Here is a 19,078-nt window from a genome sequence, read left to right as displayed (position 1 = left end):
CATGGGAACCGAACCGCCGCGCCTCGCCCAGGACAGTTACACTTAGAGGCCTTGTAGGTGGAGGTCGTTGGGGCTTCCTCTCGGGAGGGCTGCGCCTCGATTGTGCAGTGTGGGTGTTCAGTGGCGGTTCAGTCAAGGGATGTTTCCCGCTGGGCCAAGGCCTGGGGATGACTGCGGGGTAGGAGGAAGGGACCAGTTTTCTGTAGGCTGGGGTTGGGGAGCAGAGGGAAGCGTTTGGTACAGCGGCGCCTGCAGTTCAGTTTTTGAAAACTAGATTTTAATATGCTCGGCCAGGGGCGGTGGCTCACGCCTGTAATCCCAGCACTTTGGGAGGCCGAGGCGGGAGGATCACTTGCCATCAGGAGTTCGAGACCAGCCTGGCCAACATGGCGAAACCCCGTCTCTACTAAAAATATAAAAATTAGCCGGGCGTGGTGGTGGGCACCTGTAATCCCAGCTACTCGGGAGGCTGAGGCAGGAGAGTCTCTTGAACCCAGGAGGCGGAGGTTGCAGTGAGCCGAGATCACGCCACTGCACTCCAGCCTGGGCGACAGAGGGAGACTGTCTCAAAAAAAAAAAAAAAAAAAGCACATTAGGCACATGTTAGGTCATCATCAAATGTTAATTATGCCGAGATCGCGCCACTGCATTCCAGCCTGGGGGACAGAGGGAGACTCTGTCTCAAAAAAAAAAAAAAAAAAAAAAAAAAAAGCATATTAGGCACATATGAGGTCATCATCAAATGTTAATTATCTCCATGAGCCAACATCAGCCTTCTAACCATAAGGGCGACTTCCTGGCTCCAAACTTTTTGATCCTATTAAGGAGGTTTTACCTTGTACCTGCCCATAGGACTAAGCAGTGCCAGTGGACACCATTAGGTATCACAGCTAACCAAAGGCATGACCAGGACAGATAAAGAAAAAAAGAAATGGAGAAAAAAGAAATAAAGGAGGTATATGTGGGCAGACTATTTGAGTCATACATAGCAACTTCTCTTGGGTTCTGCCAGCTAGACTTCATACAGTCCAAGAATGGCCTGTGTGGGTTAGAGGGACAAAGATGTAGGTGTTTGGTGCTTTTCATTAGTTCTTAACAAACTCAACTACTGCTTTTCTGTAGGTTTTTGATAGTTTCTTTTCTCTCTTTTTTTTTTTTTTGAGACAGAGTCTCACTCTGTTACCCAAGCTGGAGTGCAGTGGCATGATCTCCACTCACTGCAACCTCTGCCTCCTGGGTTCAAGCTATTCTCCTGCCTCAGCCTCCCACGTAGCTGGGATTACAGGCATGCACCAGCATGCCCAGCTGATTTTTGTATTTTTAGTAGAGACAGGGTTTCGCCATGTTGGCCAGGCTGGTCTCAAACTCCTGACCTCAGGTGATCTGCCCGCCTTGGCCTATTTGATAGTTTCTGAGTGGTCTGTTCCATTCTGTATTTTCTTGGTTGCTAGGATGAACAGGAGCCACAATTTTATTATGCTTGGTTATGTTATTAGCTTTGGCCATTAAGTAGTGTCGTGAATCCCTCCCTCTGTTATTTGGGCTAAAGCCATGTCCTTCCAATGCCCTTTAGGGCTCTCTTTGATTCTTTTTCCAATGGCCACCCCTCCATTTTTCCAGCCACCCACTAGGTTTCTCATCATCCAGGAATATTGTGTATATTGCTTACAGAATTTGATCCTCCCATCACAGGTCCCCTTTGGTAGTGCCAGGAATTTTCCCACACTCCAGCAGCCAATCCCTCTTCTTCTTGTCAGGAGAAGATATTCTTGGGGAGTATTGTGAAAGGGAAGGTTTTGGGACTGGGTTTGGGGCCATCCCTAGTCCTGCTCATACCTCAGCTGATACTCTGGGCAAGGTGTACACCTCTAGCCTGAACTGAGCTCTTGTCCCAACTCTCAGCATCATCATGATGTTAAGCTGCCTCTTTCTTCTGAAGGCACTTCTTGCTCTTGGGTCTCTGGAATCCTGGATAACTGCAGGAGAACATGGTGAGCTATCATTTGGGATCCCTGGCCAACAGTAACAGAAAGTGACTAGAGGAGAGGAGAACTCATCCCCTGCCTTCTCCCAGAGCAAGGTTGCTTGTAAGTGGAGATGATCATCTCTATAGGACAGGACTGGATGAATAGATTCTCAGGATGGCCTGGGTCATTCTTCCTGGCTTTCTTTACCCTCTCTGGACAAGGAGATAGGACTTCCAGTTGGGCTTACTAGAGGTTCTAGCTTTTCCCTAGAACTCATTAAATGAGAACAGGATCATCCCACCCTTTCTCTCTCGTTATCTGCAGGATGGCTGCTCCTTTAGCAGTGGTGGATATATGTTAGTATTTGTGTATGAGGAGGGGAAGGTGGTTGCAGAATTTTTTTTTTTTTTTTGAGATGGAGTCTCACTCTGTCACCCAGGCTGGAGTGCAGTGGCGTGATCTCAGCTCACTGCAAACTCCACCTCCCAGGTTCACGCCATTCTCCTGCCTCAGCCTCCCGAGTAGCTGGGACTACAGGTGCCCGCCGCCACGCCCAGCTAATTTTTTGTATTTTTAGTAGAGATGGGGTTTCACTGTGTTAGCCAGGATGATCTCGATCTCCTGACCTCATGATCCGCCCGCCTCGGCCTCCCAAAGTGCTGGGATTACAGGCATGAGCTATCGTGCCCAGCCAGAATTTTTTTTTTTTTTTAAGAGACAGGGTCTCATTCTGTCACCCAGGCTAGAGTGCAGTGGTGCAGAAATATTTTGGATAGAGATGCCTGGAGGGGCTGAAGGTCCATTCCCCATTTCTGAGGCCTGGCTAGTTACCCCAAACTCAAATAGTATCTTTTGCAGCAAAAGAGGGAGAATGCCCTCCCCATAAGAACCCATGCAAAGAGCTGTGCCAGGGTGATGAATTGTGTCCGGCTGAACAGAAGTGCTGCACCACAGGCTGTGGTCGGATCTGCCGAGACATTCCTAAGGGTATGTTGGCATGAGGGGCAAAATCTGGGCATACTCTCTGACATTGCCTCTGGGATAGATGGAAGTAGAGAGCTTCCCACCTTCTAGGTTGCCTCTGGAAGTCTCCCTTGCCTAGAGTACTTCTTCTTTACTCTTTTAGGGTCCCTCCTCCTTTAATTATTCAGTGCCCCCAGTTGTTTGCCTTCCATCAGGAAAGAGCGCACCATTGATTATCTATGTCTTTTACTTTGGACTCAAAGTTCCTGTGAAGGCTGGAGGGAAGAGTTGTAAAGGGAAGGCTGTGTAAGATAATGATTAAGAGAGTAGACCCTAGAGCCAAGCAGACCTTTTTAAGCCTTAAGCCTTAGCTCTTTATAAATCTTAAGCTTTTAGCCTCAGTTTCCTCATCTATAAAATGGGGATAATTGTGAGGATCAAATAAGATGTTCATGGCACAAGGTAAACGTCAGTAAATGTTACAGTAAATATTTGCTATTACTATTGTTGTTATTATTGTCTCTTTGTCTTAGCACCAGGGTTGAGAGGCTTAAATAAATCTCAGGACTTCCTTTTTCTGTTTTTCCCTTCTGCTGTGCCCGTGGGTGTTGCCAGGCACTATTTTCTCTCTCTCTCTCTCTTTTTTTTTTGAGACGGAGTTTCGCTCTTGTTGCTCAGACTAGAATGCAGTGGCGTGATCTCGGCTCACCGCAACCTCTGCCTCCCGGGTTCAAGTGATTCTCCTGCCTCAGCCTCCCAAGTAGCTGGGATTTACAGGCATGTGCCACCACCCCCGACTAATTTTGTATTTTTAGTAGAGATGGGGTTTCTCCATGTTGGCCAGGCTGTTCTCGAACTCCCTACCTCAGGTGATCCACCCGCCTTGGCCTCCCAAAGTGCTGGGATTACAGGTGTGAGCCATGGCGCTCGGCCTATTTTCTCTTTTCTTTGCTGTCTCCCTTTTTGCTACAGGGAGGAAAAGAGATTGCCCTAGGGTTATTCGGAAACAATCCTGTTTGAAAAGGTGCATCACTGATGAGACATGTCCAGGTGTAAAGAAATGCTGCACGCTTGGCTGCAACAAGAGCTGTGTAGTCCCAATCTCTAAACAGAAGCTGGGTAAGAAACGCTGTCCCCACACCTCATGGTCTGTTTGGTCTGCTTGTTTATTTCTCAAATATGCACATATCAGCTTGTTGGTTTTACTTTGCTGCTATATTCTAAGACCTTAAAAAAAAAAGATATACAAAGGGTGCACAAGCCATAATCATTTGTGGTATGTAGCCTGGGCAGGCAGAGGGAGGGTGCCAGAAGGGCAGCCTCAACTTACCCTCATTTGCAGACTGCTTTGAAAACGGTTGAGTAGCCAGGTGTGGTGGCTCATGCCTGGAATCCCAGCACTTTGGGAGGCCAAGGCGGGCGGATCACGAGGTCAGGAGATCGAGACCATCCTGGCTAACACGGCGAAACTCCGTCTCTACTAAAAATACAAAAAAAGTAGCCGGGCGTGGTGGCGGGTGCCTGTAGTCCCAGCTACTTAGGAGGCTGAAGCAGGAGAATGGCGTGAACCCAGAAGGCGGAGCTTGCAGTGGGCCGAGATTATGCCACTGCACTCCAGCCTGGGTGACAGAGCGAGACTCTGTCTCAAAAAAAAAAAAAAAAAAAAAAAAAAGAAAAAAGAAAACCACTGGGTAATTCCCAGTTCCCATAATCAGTTGCAATATTCTCTGTTAAAAAATCTTATCCTGAGAATCTGCAGAGACAGAAAAAAAAAAAAGAATCTTGATGCCTATGGAAGGTGGCACACATTTCCCCACTCATTTGCTCCCGAGATTCTTTTTTTTTTTTTTTTTTTTTTTTTGAGAGAGAGTCTTGCTCTGTCTCCCAGGCTAGAGTGCAGTGGTGTGATCTTGGCTCACTGCAACCTCTGCCTCCCAGGTTCAAGCAATTCTCCTGCCTCAGCCTCCCTATTATCTGGGACTACAGGCATGTGCCACCACACCCGGCTAATTTTTTGTATTTTTAGTAGAGACGGGTTTTCGTCATGTTAGCCAGGATGGTCTCAATCTCCTGACCTCGTGATCCACCCACCTCAGCCTCCCAAAGTACTGGGATTACAGGCGTGAGCCACCATGCCTGGCCTGCTCCTGAGATTCTTATGTTCCCTATGTACACACACGGCGGGGCTGTCTCCTGTGGGAAACAGATTCTTTTTCATTCTGGTCCTGGTAGAGAGGTATTTGAAAGAGATTCATTCTCCCTTTTGCAGAGTCCCAGTGACCTAATTATCCATTTATGCATTCATTTCTTCAACAAGTATTTATTGAATGTGTACTGTTTGCGAGATCCAGTGACGGGCTCCTGGTATATTGTGGAAAATACGGTAGATCCCATGCCCGCTTTCATGGAGCTCATAGTCTCATGGCAGAGAAAGAGGTTTAACAAATAAGCATGTAAATAAATATATAATTTCAAACTCTGATAAGGACAGGGAAGGAAAATTAAAGGGTGCTGAGAGACAGAGTAAAGCGGAGAACTCACTTTTATTTTTGTTTTTATTTTTTTGACAGTCTTGCTCTGTTGCTCAGGCTGGAGTGCAGTGGCACGATCTTGTTTCACTACAACCTCCACCTACCTTCTGGGCTCAAGCAATTCTCCTGCCTCAGCCTCCCGAGTAGCTGGGATTACAGGCACATGCCACCCCACCTGGCTAATTTTTGTATTTTTAGGAGAGATGGGGTCTCACCATGTTGGCTGGGTTGGTCTCACACTCCTGGCCTCAAGTGATCCACCTGCCTTGGCCTCCCAAGGGCTGGCGTGAGCCACCGTGCCCGGCTGAGAACTCACATTGGTTTGGGTGGTTGAGGATGGCATGTGTGGAGTGACATTTAAGCTGCAACCTGGAGAGCGATTTGAAGTTAGCCAGGTGAAGGGTGCGATGGACATTCCAGGGAGAGAGAGAAGCACACACAGAGGCCTTAAGATGACTAGGAGCTTGCCACATTTGAGAAATGGAAAGAAAGCTAGTACGGTTAGAGTAGAAATGGGAGGGAGAGAATGAAGGCAGATGAGGATGTAGACCCGTGAGACTAGGGAGGTAGCAGCGGGGATGGAGAAAGGTGACATAGTTGAGAAAATTTGGAGGTAGAAGTGACAGGGCTCTCTGCTCTATTCCTTCTCCATTCCCTTGAGAGGCCCCTAAAACATATTAGAAATTGATGGCATGTCTTCTATGTCTAACCCCTTCCTATTTTCCTCTTGTTTCACGATTTTCATGGCTACTTTTGCTTATTTGTGCTTCCAAATATATTTTATTATAATATTATCTATTTTTCTTCCATCATTCCCAAATACCAAGACTACGTTCACTGGAGTGATGTTAGATATATAAATTAAATTAGCTTAAGGAGAACTGCTGTTATTATAATGTTGAATCTTTTTTTTTTCTTACCCTGTTTTATGGTACTGAAATGTTCTTTTTTTTTTTTTTTTTTGAGACAGGCTGTCGCCCAGGCAGGAGTACAGTGGCGTGATCTTGGCTCACTGCAACCTCTGCTCCCACATTCAAGTCATTCTTGTGCGTCAGCCTCCTGAGTAGCTGGGATTGCAGGCGTGTGCCACCATGCTCAGCTAATTTTTGTATTTTTAGAAGAGATGGGGTTTTGCCATGTTGGTCAGGCTGATCTCGAACTCCTGACCTCAGGTGATCTGCCCACCTTGGCTCCCAAAATGCTGGGATTACAGGCATGAGCCACTGTGCCTGGCCTATGTTGAATCCTATGCCTTCCCTGTTGATCAAGTGTATTTTGCATATTTCAGGGTGTTTTATAGTGTTAAAATATTTCTCCATAAATTTATGCCTAGGTATTTTATTTTCTTCTCTGCTGTTTTGAATATTTCTCATTATGTTTTCTAAAGGAACTGGAATCATTCTCTTATCTGAGTGCATGTGGTGGATGTTAGAGTGGAAAATCCTAGGTTTGGGTTGTCGGAGTCCTGGGTTCAAGCCTGAGGTTTGCCAGTTACTGGCCAGCAGGTCCCTGGGCAAGTAATTTTGAGCCTTAGTTCCCTTCTCTGTAAGGTGGGAAGAATAAACCTCGAAGGCTTGTTGTAATTATTCAAATTATGTAAAGTGTTTTGCCCTCAGTATATATTAACTTCCTTCCTCTTGCCTCCTAAGTGGCCTGGGTCAGAAGTACAATTTCTTTTTTTTGAGACTGAGTTTCGCTATTGTTGCCCAGGCTGGAGTGCAGTGGTGCAGTCTCGGCTCACTGCAATCTCCACCTCCCAGGTTCAAGCGATTCTCCTGCCTCAGCCTCCCAAGTAGCTGGGATTATAGGCATGTGCCACTATGCTCAGCTAATTTTTTGTATTTAGTAGAGACGGCTTTTCAGCATGTTGGTCAGGCTGGTCTCAAACTCCTGACTTCAGGTGATCCACCGGCCTTGGCCTCCCAAAGTGCTGGGATTACAGGTGTGAGCCACCATGCCCAGCAGGAGTACAATTTCTCACCAGCCCCTTTATTCAAAACCAGGATGGTTTTCTTCTTCCCTGATCACTTCCTCTCAGAACCTGAAGCCCTGTAACATGTGACAACCTTTTTCCTTCCAGTCAAACCTCTCCAGGTAGGAGGCCCCTTGCTGGTACCCATTGGGTCTGTCTGTGCCCGGCTTAGGCAGCTATCTTGGGCAGCCTGCCCATTAGAGAGAATGGAAGGTTGTTCTCCTTGCCAGGACTCTTGAGGCCCAGCTCTGGAACCAGCCTGGGAATCTGTCTCAGGCAGGTCACTGACTGCTGGCATGTAGGGCTTGGTACAATCTTCCCAGTGTTTGAAGCTGAGGGCTGAATTGTAGGGGCTAAGGGCGAGGCTGGCACCCAGGCACAGTACCTTTGTGAGCTGCTCTGGCCCCTGGCCAGCCCAGATAGGGCTTCCTTTTCCACTGGAGCTTGGCAGGCAGGCTAGAATAGTGATCTCCCGCAGATGTCCCAGAGCCTGCTGGGCTGAGCGGGGTTCCTAGCCTGGTGGGAGGTGATACTGGCTACTGCATTGGTAGTTAACTACTTTTGTATAGCTCCAGCCCTAGGGGAGGGCTAGGCTACTCACCCAACAGGACTGGTTGCTATACCCAACTCTACAGGAAGCTCTCCTTCCAGGGCTATGAAAAATTTCGCTTTCCTTAAGCTCTGACATTGCCAGAGGTTTACCATAGCCAGCGCTGGTCTGTTTGGCAAAGTGGAGGTTCAGTCAGGTTGCCTGAGGGCAAGGGCAGACATTGGGTCCTGCTCTCATGACACTGTTCTAGTCTGAACATGGGTCTGAATCCTGGCTCTTCTGCTTGCTTGCTGTGTGGCCTTGGGCAAGTCCCTTCATTTCTCTGAATCTCACTTTTATTATCTGTAAAATGGGGATAAGGATGTTTAGCTCCCAGAGTGATAATGCAGTTGAGAAGAAATGCATTTTATTTATTTATTTATCTGGGACAAGGTCTCACTCTATCACCCAGGCTGGAGTGCAGTGGTGTGATCTCAGCCCACTGCAGCCTCAACCTCCTGGGCTCAGGTGATCCTTCTGCCTTAGTTCCCTGAGAAACTGGGACTACAGGCACAAACCACTGTGTCCGGCCAGAAATGCATTTAAAAAAGTCTGCAGTAAACCTGCCAGATAATGCTCAAGAGAGCTCATATGGTCATGCCAAGTACCTCTGTGTTCTGGTCCGCCCCTTCTCTGCCTCCCCACCTATCTGATGCCTGACCTATCCGTTTACTCACCCACTTATTCATGTATTCACTGTATATTGAGTGTGGCTACCCTACCTGGCATGTGGGTCTGCAGTGGTGAGGAAGGCAGCCGTGGTCCTTGCCACCCTGGGGCTTGCTCATATAGTGTGACAGACAGGAAATAATCAAGAAAACAAATACATAATAACCCCAAGATGATGATGAGTCATGAGTGCTTTGAAGGTAAAGGAAGAAGAGAGAAGGAGGCTGCTTTCATTTGAGGTTGGAGAGGTAGGCAGGGCCCAGACTTTCGGGGGTCTTCAGGGCTTCTCTCTTAGGCTTTATTCTAAGTGCAATAGGAAGCCTTTGAGGGGGTTTAAAAGCAGGAGAGGCCTTGTCCAGTTTTCATTTTAAAAAGACCACTCTGCCAGTATATGAAGAATGGATGGGGGCAAGTGTAGAAGATGGAAGACCAGTTAGGAGGCTATTGTGGCAGGCTGGGAGAGATGATCGGGGCTTAGACTGGGTTGGAGATACTGCAGACATAGAAAAATGGAAGGCGGCCGAACGCAGTGGCTGATGCCTGTAATCCCAGCACTTTGGGAGGCCAATGCGGGCAGATCACGAGGTCAGGAGTTTGAGACCAGCCTGGCCAACATGGTGAAACCCCATCTCTACTAAAAATACAAAAATTAGCCGGGCATGATGGTGGGCGTCTGTAATCCCAGCTACTCGGGAGGCTGAGGCAGGAGAATCGCTTGAACCTAGGAGGTGGAGGTTGCAGAGAGCCGAGATCGCACCACTGCACTCCAGCCTGGGCAACAAGAGCGAAACTCCATCTCAAAAAAAAGAAAAAAAAAATCCAAAACAAAAAAGCCCCCAAAAAACCAATAACAATGAAAAAGAAAAATGGAAGGCTTACATGTTTGTGAAGGTAGAATTAATGGGACTGGGTGAACAAGTAAGTGGCTGCAGGCATTGAGGGAGACGGGGTATCAAGAAGGGTGGTAGATATTCAGCTTGAGCAGTTGGGTGATGGTGGTGTTCTTTACTGAGACAGGGACAACCTGGGGGAAGAGGTTTTGGAGTGAAGATTCTGATTCTGGCCTGACAGTTGTCTTCTTGGGCCTCCTCATGGCTCACCTCCCCACTGTATGAAACCTGACCACTCCAGATCCCCTGTGACCCTCTGTTTTGCTTATTAACATATATGTATTATCTTTTACGTGGGCTGATGGCATGGCCTCCCTGGGTGTCTGGCTGACCCTTTTCTAAAACCTCACTGCAGGTTGTACAGAAAAGAGTTAACATAACAAGCCTGAGACCGCTCTTCTTAAAAAGGCTTGCTGGCAAGGCTGGGCCTTGGCTGGCTTCTGGGAACTTGGATTTTGTGGGTATTTGTACTACTCTAACTGATAAGAGTGGTTCACTGTGCCTAAACTGTTTGTGTAAACATTGTGGTTTAGGCTGAACATCTGCTTTCCTTCTGAGAGTCTGGAATCTTGGTACGTGCTAGGCAGAGGGTGCCTAAGTGACCAGCCCCCAGTAGAGAACTTTCACAGTGAGTGTCTAATGAGTTTCCCTGGTAGAAAACACTTCACACATGTCATAATTCCATGCTGGAAGAATTAAGTGCATCCTGTGACTCTACCGGGAGGACTCTTGAAAATCAGCACCTGATTTCCTCTGGACTTTTCCCTTTGATGATTTTTCTTTGTATCCTTTTGCTGTAATAAATCATAGCCATGGGTATGACTATACGCTGAGTCCTGCTAATGAATCACTGAACCTGGAAGTAAGTGGTCTTGAGGACTGCCTACACACTGGTGGATAACTTTTCCTAACCTCTAAAACTATCTACCACTGGATCTTCTCTTTTGGTGGAACTGGGCAGAGTGAGTCCCAGTGCTTCTTGGTTTTTGTGTGATCCTTGCTGCAGTGTAGGGGATCATGATGATGTGTGTGTGTGTGTGTCTATGTGTGTGTTTGAGATGGAGTCTCGCTCTGTCACCCAGGATGGAGTGCAGTGGTGTGATCTCGGCTCACTGCAACCTCTGCCTCCCAGGTTCAAGCAATTCTCCTGCCTCAGCCTCCCCAGTAGCTGGGATTACAGGCACCCATCACCACACCCGGCTTTTTTTTTTTTTTTTTGTATTTTTAGTAGAGACAGGGTTTCAACATGTTGGCCAGATTGGTTTTGAACTCCTGACCTCAAGTGTTTCACCCACCTTGGCCTCCCAAAGTGCTGGGATTACAGGCATGAGCCACTGAGCCAGGCCCATGATGTGGTTTAAAGGGCATGAGACCTTATATCAGAGCTGGGGATTTGTGACTCAGTTCTGCTACCATTGACCTCAGGCCAATCCCTCTCTCTAGTTGTCTGTCTCTCTATTTACAAGAGAAGGGGAGTAAGTTTGTTAGCTCAGAGGGCCCTTCTTGGGTTAAGAAGTGCTGAAATTTTACTTTTCCAACAACAACTGGCATCTTTCTCTCAGACATAGTGGCAGGTTGGAGCTGAGGCAGCAGGACAGACTGTGAGTGAGTATTTCCTGGGCTTCAGCTTCACTCCTTTTTTGGTGATAGCTTAGAGTCTTGGGATGGGTGCTGATAGAGGGTGGGGAACCGTCATCCCCATTCTGGCTACTGTTCCTATTTCTCTTCCTGATTCCTGGTAAGCTAATTGTGAGGTGATTAGGGAGCATGTCTTATGAGGAACTGACCTTACCTAGCATGGCAAAGCCAGGATCGTGAAAGACAGAGGATCCTGCCTGAAAGAATGGCATCCGCCAGGTTTTTGTAAGGTCTCTGGGGATAGGAAAAGGCCCAGCCAGATTTCAGGTCAGTATAAAGAGGTACAAAGGGCCAGGCATGGTAACTCATGCCTGTGACGTCAGCACTTTGGGAGGCTGAGGCGGGAGGATTGCTTGAGGCCAGAAGGTCAAAACAAGCCTAGTCAACATAGTGAGACCCTGTCTCTATAAAAAATAAAAATAATTAGCTGGGCCTGGTAGTGTGTGCCTATAGTTCAGCTACTCAGGAGGCTGAGGTTGGAGGATTGCTTGAGCCCAGGAGTTCAAGAGTTTGAGGCTGCAGTAAGCCACCATTGCGGCACTGCACCCCAGCCTGGGTGACAAAGCGAGACCCTGTCTCAAAAAAAAAAAAAAAAAAAAAAAGGTATAAAGGCTGTCTAGCTTAAGTAGGATAGCATAATCTGGCTTGGAGGTAGTGAGGCCCCATTAATTCCAGGTGTTAGAGCTGAGAGAAAGGGATCACGTGGCAGGGATTCATATAAGGCAGGGTGTCAGACTGGGTGGCATTGCTGGGCACTGGTCAAAAGCGAGGTGCTGTGACCCTCTGGGCCTCCAGGAAGCCTGGCCTGGAAAAGGGTAGAGGTAAGTGCTCCATGCCTGGTCTTGAGGACGAGGGCAGAGAGTAGCAGAGAGCTCCTGGCATTGGTCATCTCAAGGTCAAGCTCAGCAAAATGGTGAAATCTGGGACGTATGGCACTCCCAGTTTCTAGGGCACATGGCATAATTTTATGAGATGTTTATGTCACCGGGTTTTTCCACCAGGGAGATTTTTACTCCCAGCCTTCTCAGCTGTGAGATAGAAGGCTTTTGTTCCTTGTTAAATGGATTTCAGTGTTTGTCAAGCAGGTGGGGAGGTGCAGGGAGATGCATTTGGTGGTTACAGTGACCACATTTTCTGAGTCAAAAATCAGGACACATAGTTTTGATGTGATCTCACAGTAGCACAGGATATTTGAAATAGGGGCTGTTCAGGAAAATCTCAGGATACAGGGTTACTACGCCTGGGTTGTTTAGCTGCATGTATTCTCCTTGGATTCCAATACTTGCTTTTTCCATCATGGCAGACTTCCCAGAGCCAGCTGTATGCAATCATACTTACCTGTTCCTACTCAGAGGCACTGGGCCAGTCTTGCTTTGGTTTTCTGCGAAATCTTTAATTGCCTGTCACCTTTCTCTTTACTTAAGAAGCTTGAAATAAACACTAAGATGAATGAGTCATGGTGAATTGGTTTGGTTTGGATGTGGCCTTCTTTGGGTGTGCCTGCGCCTGGGGCCCTGGCCAGTTGCCTGCATGTTTTAAGGATAGTGTAGTAGAAAAAGTACTTTACCGCAAATCAAGAGGCTGAGTGTTGTCCTGCCTTGCTGCTGACTCACTCTGTAGTTCTGGGCAAGATTCTTCTCTGAGTTTATTTTCATAGGAAATGTGTTTGGCTGCACACAACAGAAAATTAATCATATAGGGGTTTGTTTTTCTCATATAACAAGAATTCCTGAGGCTGGGATGGTGGCTCCATGATGCTAACAAGGATGAAACTATTTCCCTCTTTCTCCTTTGCAATTCTTTTTTTTTTTTTACATTTACATTTTATTATTTATTTATTTTAAAAGACGATGGTTAGATGCCACAAAGTAGGTGGCAATGCTTGAACCATATGCATGTTGTCAGGCCCAAAGGCCTCTTCCATCCTTGTCGAGGGGAGTGCTAACCTTCTCTCCTTTCATACAACACCTCTTTGCAATTCTTGACCATTTCGTTATGCTGAGTTGCCTCCTCATTGAAAGAAGGCTACTCTGCCTCTCTGTGTAATGTCTATCTTTGGACTGGAAGAAGAAAGAAGTGAGGGAGCAGTTTGAAAGGGGTATTCCCTGTGTCAGGAATACAAAAGTTTCCCAGTTTATGTCCTAGTTTGTGGTCACCCCTTGTTGCAAGAGAGTATGGGGAAACAAATCATTTTAGCTGGACCTGTTGCCTCTCAGAATAAACTTGGTATCCAGTATCTATTGCTGCATAAGAAACCATCTCCAAACTTCATGACTTAAAGCAATATAGTTACTCTTTCTCACAGTTGTGTAGGTTGCCTGAGCTTGGCTGGGCAGTTCATATACCCACATGATGTAGCTGTGGTCATTCATTTAGCTGCATTCATCTGGGAGCTTAGCAGGGAGCTCAACTGGAGCCACAACGTCCAGGATGACCTCTCTTCTAGGTTCTGTCTCCATGGGGCATCTCATCATCCCATAGCGTAGTTCAAGCTGCTTTATAGCATGGCGGCTGGTTTCCAAGAGGAAGTATTCTGAGTGGACAAGCCCCAGTATGCTAGTGCTTATCAAGGCTCTGCTTACATTACATTTGCTAATGTCCCATTGGTCAAAGCAAGTCAGATGGTCAAACCCAGAGTAGGTATGGAAGGGGACTACAAAAGGGCCTGAATCCCAGGAGGTAAAGTTCACTGGAGGCCACCATTGTAAATGTCTGCCACAGGGAGAATTCAGGGAGAATGTTGGCCACAGTGGGTTAGACCTGAACAGTGTTTTTCAAACTGTGAGTCCTGAAAGCAATTTAGTAATTAGGAAAAATAAGAACTAGAATATAAAATATCAGGGTGGGCTGGGTGGGGGGGCTCACGCCTGTAATCCTGGCACTTTGGGAGGCTCAGGCGGGAGGATCACTTGAGCCAGGAGTTTGATATCAGCCTAGGGAACATAGTGAGACTCTGTCTCTACAAAATAAATAAATAAAATTACCCAGGCCTGGTGGCTTGTGCCTCTAGTCCCAGGTACTCAGGAGGCTGTGGTGGGAGGATCCCTTGAGCACAGGAGTTTCAGGCTGCAATGAGCTATGATTGTGCCACTGTACTTTAGCCTGGGTGATACAGTGAGACCCTGTCTCTACAAAATAAATAAATAAATAAGCCAGGCATGATGGCATGTGCCTGTAGTTCTAGCCACTCAGGAGGCTGAGGTGGGAGGATCCCTTGAATGCAGGAGTTTGAGGCTGCAGTGAGCTATGATTATGCCACTGCACTTTGGCCTGGGCAACACAGTGAGACCCTGTCTTAAAAAAAATCAGATGTATTGCAGATACATGATACACATAAATATTTACATTATATATGTATATAAATATATAACTATATATAAACATACACATGGGACACAATGAAAAATGTGTTTCATATTGTGAGCGTCTCTGGGCTCCAATGCTTTGATTATGTAGCAGAGTTTGGTGGTGAATGTCCCGCTGACCCCCTTCCGTGTGAGGAGCTGTGTGATGGGGATGCATCCTGTCCCCAGGGGCATAAATGCTGCAGCACCGGCTGTGGCCGCACCTGCCTCGGAGACATTGAGGGAGGTATGTTGGCTCTTTTGGGAAGAAATCCTTGAGTGTTTCCTGAGAAGAGTGCTTCTCTTTCCCTTCCTGGGAGGAGCTAGGATTCTCATCCTTCCTGTCCCTCTGGTCCCCCAACCCAAAGCAACCCATTCTTCTAGGGCCGAGGGGCCCTGTCGACATTAAAAGAACTGGGGGAAGGCACTGTGGGGCAGTAGGAACTACTTGGGCTGGAAGACAGACAGTGTGGCTTTTGGTCTTGATTCTGCTGAGGTTTTGCTTTGTGACCTTAGGTAAGCAAACCCGTCTTTTTGAGCCCAAATTTCTTTATCTGTAAAATGAAGGAGTTGCCCAAGATCCTGATTTTCAGATCTAATTTTTAACAAAAAGCTTCTCCCCTGCCCCAAATGAAATCTTAGTTGGAAACACACACACACATATATATATATATATATATATATATTTTTTTTTTTTTTCTTTTTTTTCTTTTTTTTTTTTTTTGAGACAGAGTCTTGGTCTGTACCCCAGGCTAGAGTGTAGTGGCGTGATCTTGGCTCACTGAAACCTCTGCCTCTGGGGTTTCTTCTGCCTCAGCCTCCTGAGTAGCTGGGATTACAGGCACACGCCACCATGCCCAGCTAATTTTTGTATTTTTAGTAGAGATGGGTTTTCATCATGTTGACCAGGCTGGTCTTGAACTCCTGACCTCGTGATCTGCCTGTCTCGGCCTCCCAAAGTGCTGGAATTACAGGCGTGAGCCACCACGCCCAGCTGGAAACACACACACACACACACACACACACACACACACACACACACAGAGATAAAAGCATTCCTGTTCCAATGCCTTTTTTTCTTCAACATTTTAAAAAAACAAATATTTTTGAGTGCCAGGCACTGTGGATCTCCATTAAAGAATCATTGACCCTTGTGCTATCTTAGTCCCTTTAGATTCCCAGGCAGTGCTCAAGGCTGAGGACAGACTCTTGTCCGTATGTAGCTTATAGCCCATCAGGCAAGATAGACATATTCCTTTTAAATAAGGGATTATGATAAAGTTTGATGAGAGGAAGCATACAGGGTGCTACAGGAGCACAAAGCAGGGACATCAAACCTTGTCTAGGGTGGCAGAGGAGGCCACCGTGAAGAAGTGACACTATGAATCCAGAGCATAGGGGGAGGGGGAGTGGTCTGGGAGGCTTGCCCCTGCCACACTTCACCCACCCCCACCCCAAACCTGCAGAGGTGTCAATCCCTGAGTTACCTCTTGGGAACTCCCTTTGGGGCACCATTTGAAAACTCTGGGCTCAGAGGTCTCTTGGGTTCCTAAAGATTCTGAGATCCTCCAGCGCCATGGTTTCCCAGCCAGTTTAGTTGGGTCTAGTGAGGGTCAGGGGTTGATTGACCTAGAGCCTCTGTGTGTAAGTTCACGATGGGAACATGGAGATGGCAGAGCTGATGCCCTGTCCCTTTTCCTGTGCCTGTTGTTCCCACAGGGCGGGGCGGTGATTGTCCAAAAGTTCTGGTGGGCCTGTGCATTGTTGGCTGTGTGATGGATGAGAATTGTCAAGCTGGAGAAAAATGTTGCAAGTCAGGCTGTGGCCGCTTCTGTGTCCCACCAGTCCTGCCCCCAAAACTGACCATGAACCCCAACTGGACTGTGAGGTCTGATTCCGAATTAGGTGAGTACAGTCCATTGTCATCAACAATAACAGACAACTGCTATGTGCAAAGCACTGGCTTAGGTGCTGGGAAGGGGACTTCAGAAGGTCAGGAAAAGTCTAGTTGGAGAGAAAGAACCTATGTCCCAGATGAAAACCCTCATACAAACAGTACAGGCTTACACCTGTTCTCAGGTGTGGCAAACCTGTGTCCCAGATGAGAACCCTCATATAAACAGTACAGGCTTACACCTGTTCCCAGGTGTGGCTCCCTGGGAAGGTCTCTGTGGGAGAGGTGGGATTTGATTGAGGTGCTTAAGGCTAGGCAGATGCGACAAAGGGAGGATAGCACAGGGACATGCCAGATAGGCAATCTGGTGATTGCTGGCAAAGGAACACAGGGTGGGAATGTGTGGGATATGTTTGGGAGGTGAGGAGTGGGGGCAGGGTGGGTAAAGGAACAGACGTATCTCCAGTTTTTTTTTTTTTTTTTTTGAGATGGAGTTTCACTCTTGTCACCCAGGCTGGAGTGCAATGGCACAATCTCGACTCACTGCAACCTCTGCCTCCTGGATTCAAGCAATTCTCCTGCCTCAGCCTCCCAAGGCTGGGATTTACAGGCGCCTGCCATCATACCTAGCTGATTTTTGTATTTTTAGTAGAGACAGTGTTTCACCATGTTGGCCAGGTCTGGTCTCGAGCTCCTGATCTCAGGTTATCCACCCACCTTGGCCTCCCAAAGTGCTGGGATTACAGGCATGAGCCACTGTGCCCGACCATAATTCCAGTTTTTTATAACAGGAGATACAAGGTTGACATCTGAATAATAAGAGCCTTCAGTGCCAGTTTGGATTGGATTGTCTGGGAAGCAAGGAGCTATTTAAGACTTTTGAGAGCAATATAGGCCAAGCTTTCCTAGGGTGGAGGGAAAACATTTCAGGTAGCTGAAGCCAGGAGGGCACAGCTGTGACTTGATGTTTCTTCTACTTGCAGAGATCCCGGTGCCCTAGCTGTGCTGATTTGTCTGGAGCTTCTTTGGTAATTCTGGAAGCTTTTCCTGGCAGTCAAGAGAGGGTGACATCCTGGGGCTTGTGACATTTCCAGGGGCACTCATGGCCCTCTCTGCTCTGCTTCTCCTCCTGCCGCTGACCAGAGCATGGGAAATAGCCCTGGATTGGGTAGTGGGTGTGTGGTGCTTCTCTTTCCCGATAAAGGCTGGTGCTGACCTCTTGTTTGTGCTATTTGAGGGCTCAGATGATATGGGAGAGCTAGAGGGTATGTGTGTGCCTGTGGGATTGTACGATTTACATATTTAGGACAGATGGGTAATCCATTCTTTGTGAGGACACTGAAAATGGGTTTTGGTTGGGTGTGGCTAGGGAAGAGATGGGTGGAAACTAAACTGAGAGTGACTTGCCATAGATGTCTTTCTCAAGCCCTGGTGGGGGTGGAGGTCAGTCTCTTTTAGACCTGCTGACCTTCTTTCTTTTATTGGAGAATGTGGGTTGAGGGTGGAAACTAAACTGAGAGTGACTTGCCATAGATGTCTTTCTCAAGCCCTGGTGGGGGTGGAGGTCAGTCTCTTTTAGACCTGCTGACCTTCTTTCTTTTATTGGAGAATGTGGGTTGAGGGTGGAACAAGGGTGAGTGGCTAGTTTTTTTTTTTTTTTGAGATGTAGTCTCACTCTGTTGCCCAGGCTGGAGTGCAGTGGCGCAATCTTGGCTCACTGCAACCTCTGCCTCTCAGGTTCAAGTGATTCTCCTGCCTCAGTCTCCCGAGTAGCTGGGACTACAGGCGCGCTACCATGCCTGACTAATTTTTGTATTTTTAGTAGAGACGGGGTTTCACCATGATGGCCAGGCTTATCTTGAACTCCTGACCTCAGGTGATCTGCCTGCCTTGGCCTCCCAAAGTGCTGGGATTACAGGCGTCAGCCACTGTGCCCAGCCGAGTGGCTAGTTTCTTATAGATGTTGGAATGTTCCCACCTTGGACCTCCTTCCTTGAGGGCCAGCCCTTGGCTCCAAGACAGGCAGTTTGTCCCCTCCAGGTAGCTTTATTTTAGGGAGGGGATATCCCTAGGTTCTTGGGACCAAGATAATTTTTTAAAGTTATGTTTTTTATTTATATGAAATGGATTATATTGTGTATCTTGGAGATCTTTCATGTCATCACGTATATTCTTTTAATAGAACTCTATGAAATGGGTAATTTATTTAACTAGTTATCTTTTTTTTTTTTTGAGACGAAATCTTGCTCTGTCGCCTAGGCTGGAGTGCAGTGGCACGATCTCCGCTCACTGCAACCTCCGCCTCCTGGGCTCAAGCAATTCTCTTACCTCAGCCTTCTGAGTAGCTGTGCCTTTGACTGTTTTAGTAGAAACCCTGTCTCTACTAAAAATACAAAAATTAGCCGGGTGTGGTGGTGTGATGATATAATGATTTTTAAAAAAACTATGTGCATGTATTCGAGTTTTTAAATAAACAACAAAATGATAAAACAGTGGAAGAGGGATCTGCCAAAATGTTCAGCAGCCCATCACACAGACACTGGCCCTTCCCAGTTCCCTGCAACATGATCCTGGAGTCATGGATGTTTCTGGGTTGGCCACTGCGAGGTTCATGCCAGCCA

At 47.2% G+C, this 19,078-nt stretch overlaps 1 protein-coding gene and 1 pseudogene across 2 annotated transcripts, besides 5 other annotated features; one reads left to right on the top strand and one right to left on the bottom strand.

Annotated features, from left to right (window-relative positions):
• Nucleotide 1: 1 nt before the first annotated feature.
• On the top strand, nucleotides 2-17,672 carry WFDC3 (WAP four-disulfide core domain 3). Of its 2 annotated transcripts, none has more exons than NM_080614.2 (7): nucleotides 2-53; nucleotides 1,903-1,991; nucleotides 2,826-2,954; nucleotides 3,903-4,049; nucleotides 14,676-14,810; nucleotides 16,283-16,468; nucleotides 17,441-17,672. In NM_080614.2, exons 2-7 carry the CDS (start codon nucleotides 1,910-1,912, stop codon nucleotides 17,455-17,457), a joined length of 696 nt encoding a protein of 231 aa, NP_542181.1. In that variant the 5' UTR covers nucleotides 2-53; nucleotides 1,903-1,909; the 3' UTR covers nucleotides 17,458-17,672. The 2 variants fall into 2 exon arrangements, with proteins under 2 accessions (NP_542181.1, XP_011526855.1); XM_011528553.3 differs by having other exon boundaries at nucleotides 2-178.
• Nucleotides 7,873-8,042: an enhancer, noted in NCBI's record as "experimental_60411 CRE fragment used in MPRA reporter constructs". NCBI's record gives its function as "activates a minimal promoter by MPRAs in K562 erythroleukemia cells, with activity observed for both the introgressed and non-introgressed 20:44412567 variant alleles {active_cell/tissue: K562}" and the evidence as "EXISTENCE:reporter gene assay evidence [ECO:0000049][PMID:34662402]".
• Nucleotides 10,301-10,595: a silencer, noted in NCBI's record as "tiled region #6194; HepG2 Repressive non-DNase unmatched - State 20:ReprD, and K562 Repressive non-DNase unmatched - State 23:Low". NCBI's record gives its function as "represses a minimal TATA promoter and a strong SV40 promoter by Sharpr-MPRA in HepG2 and K562 cells {active_cell/tissue: HepG2 | K562}" and the evidence as "EXISTENCE:reporter gene assay evidence [ECO:0000049][PMID:27701403]".
• Nucleotides 11,445-11,945: an enhancer, noted in NCBI's record as "H3K4me1 hESC enhancer chr20:44408579-44409079 (GRCh37/hg19 assembly coordinates)". NCBI's record gives its function as "activates a minimal SCP1, AML or CMV promoter by ChIP-STARR-seq in naive H9 embryonic stem cells {active_cell/tissue: H9 hESC(naive)}" and the evidence as "EXISTENCE:reporter gene assay evidence [ECO:0000049][PMID:30033119]".
• On the bottom strand, nucleotides 13,063-13,187 carry RNU6ATAC38P (RNA, U6atac small nuclear 38, pseudogene; annotated as a pseudogene).
• Nucleotides 13,641-13,935: an enhancer, noted in NCBI's record as "tiled region #12827; HepG2 Activating non-DNase unmatched - State 21:Repr, and K562 Activating DNase matched - State 8:EnhW". NCBI's record gives its function as "activates a minimal TATA promoter and a strong SV40 promoter by Sharpr-MPRA in HepG2 and K562 cells {active_cell/tissue: HepG2 | K562}" and the evidence as "EXISTENCE:reporter gene assay evidence [ECO:0000049][PMID:27701403]".
• Nucleotides 16,139-16,308: an enhancer, noted in NCBI's record as "experimental_60389 CRE fragment used in MPRA reporter constructs". NCBI's record gives its function as "activates a minimal promoter by MPRAs in K562 erythroleukemia cells, with activity observed for both the introgressed and non-introgressed 20:44404301 variant alleles {active_cell/tissue: K562}" and the evidence as "EXISTENCE:reporter gene assay evidence [ECO:0000049][PMID:34662402]".
• Nucleotides 17,673-19,078: the final 1,406 nt, after the last annotated feature.

Source organism: Homo sapiens, chromosome 20 (genome assembly GCF_000001405.40).
Source record: "Homo sapiens chromosome 20, GRCh38.p14 Primary Assembly".
Taxonomy (NCBI): Eukaryota; Metazoa; Chordata; class Mammalia; order Primates; family Hominidae; genus Homo; species Homo sapiens.
The sequence above is the reverse complement of the archived record's forward strand: the minus strand, read 5'-3'. Positions and strand labels throughout refer to the sequence as shown.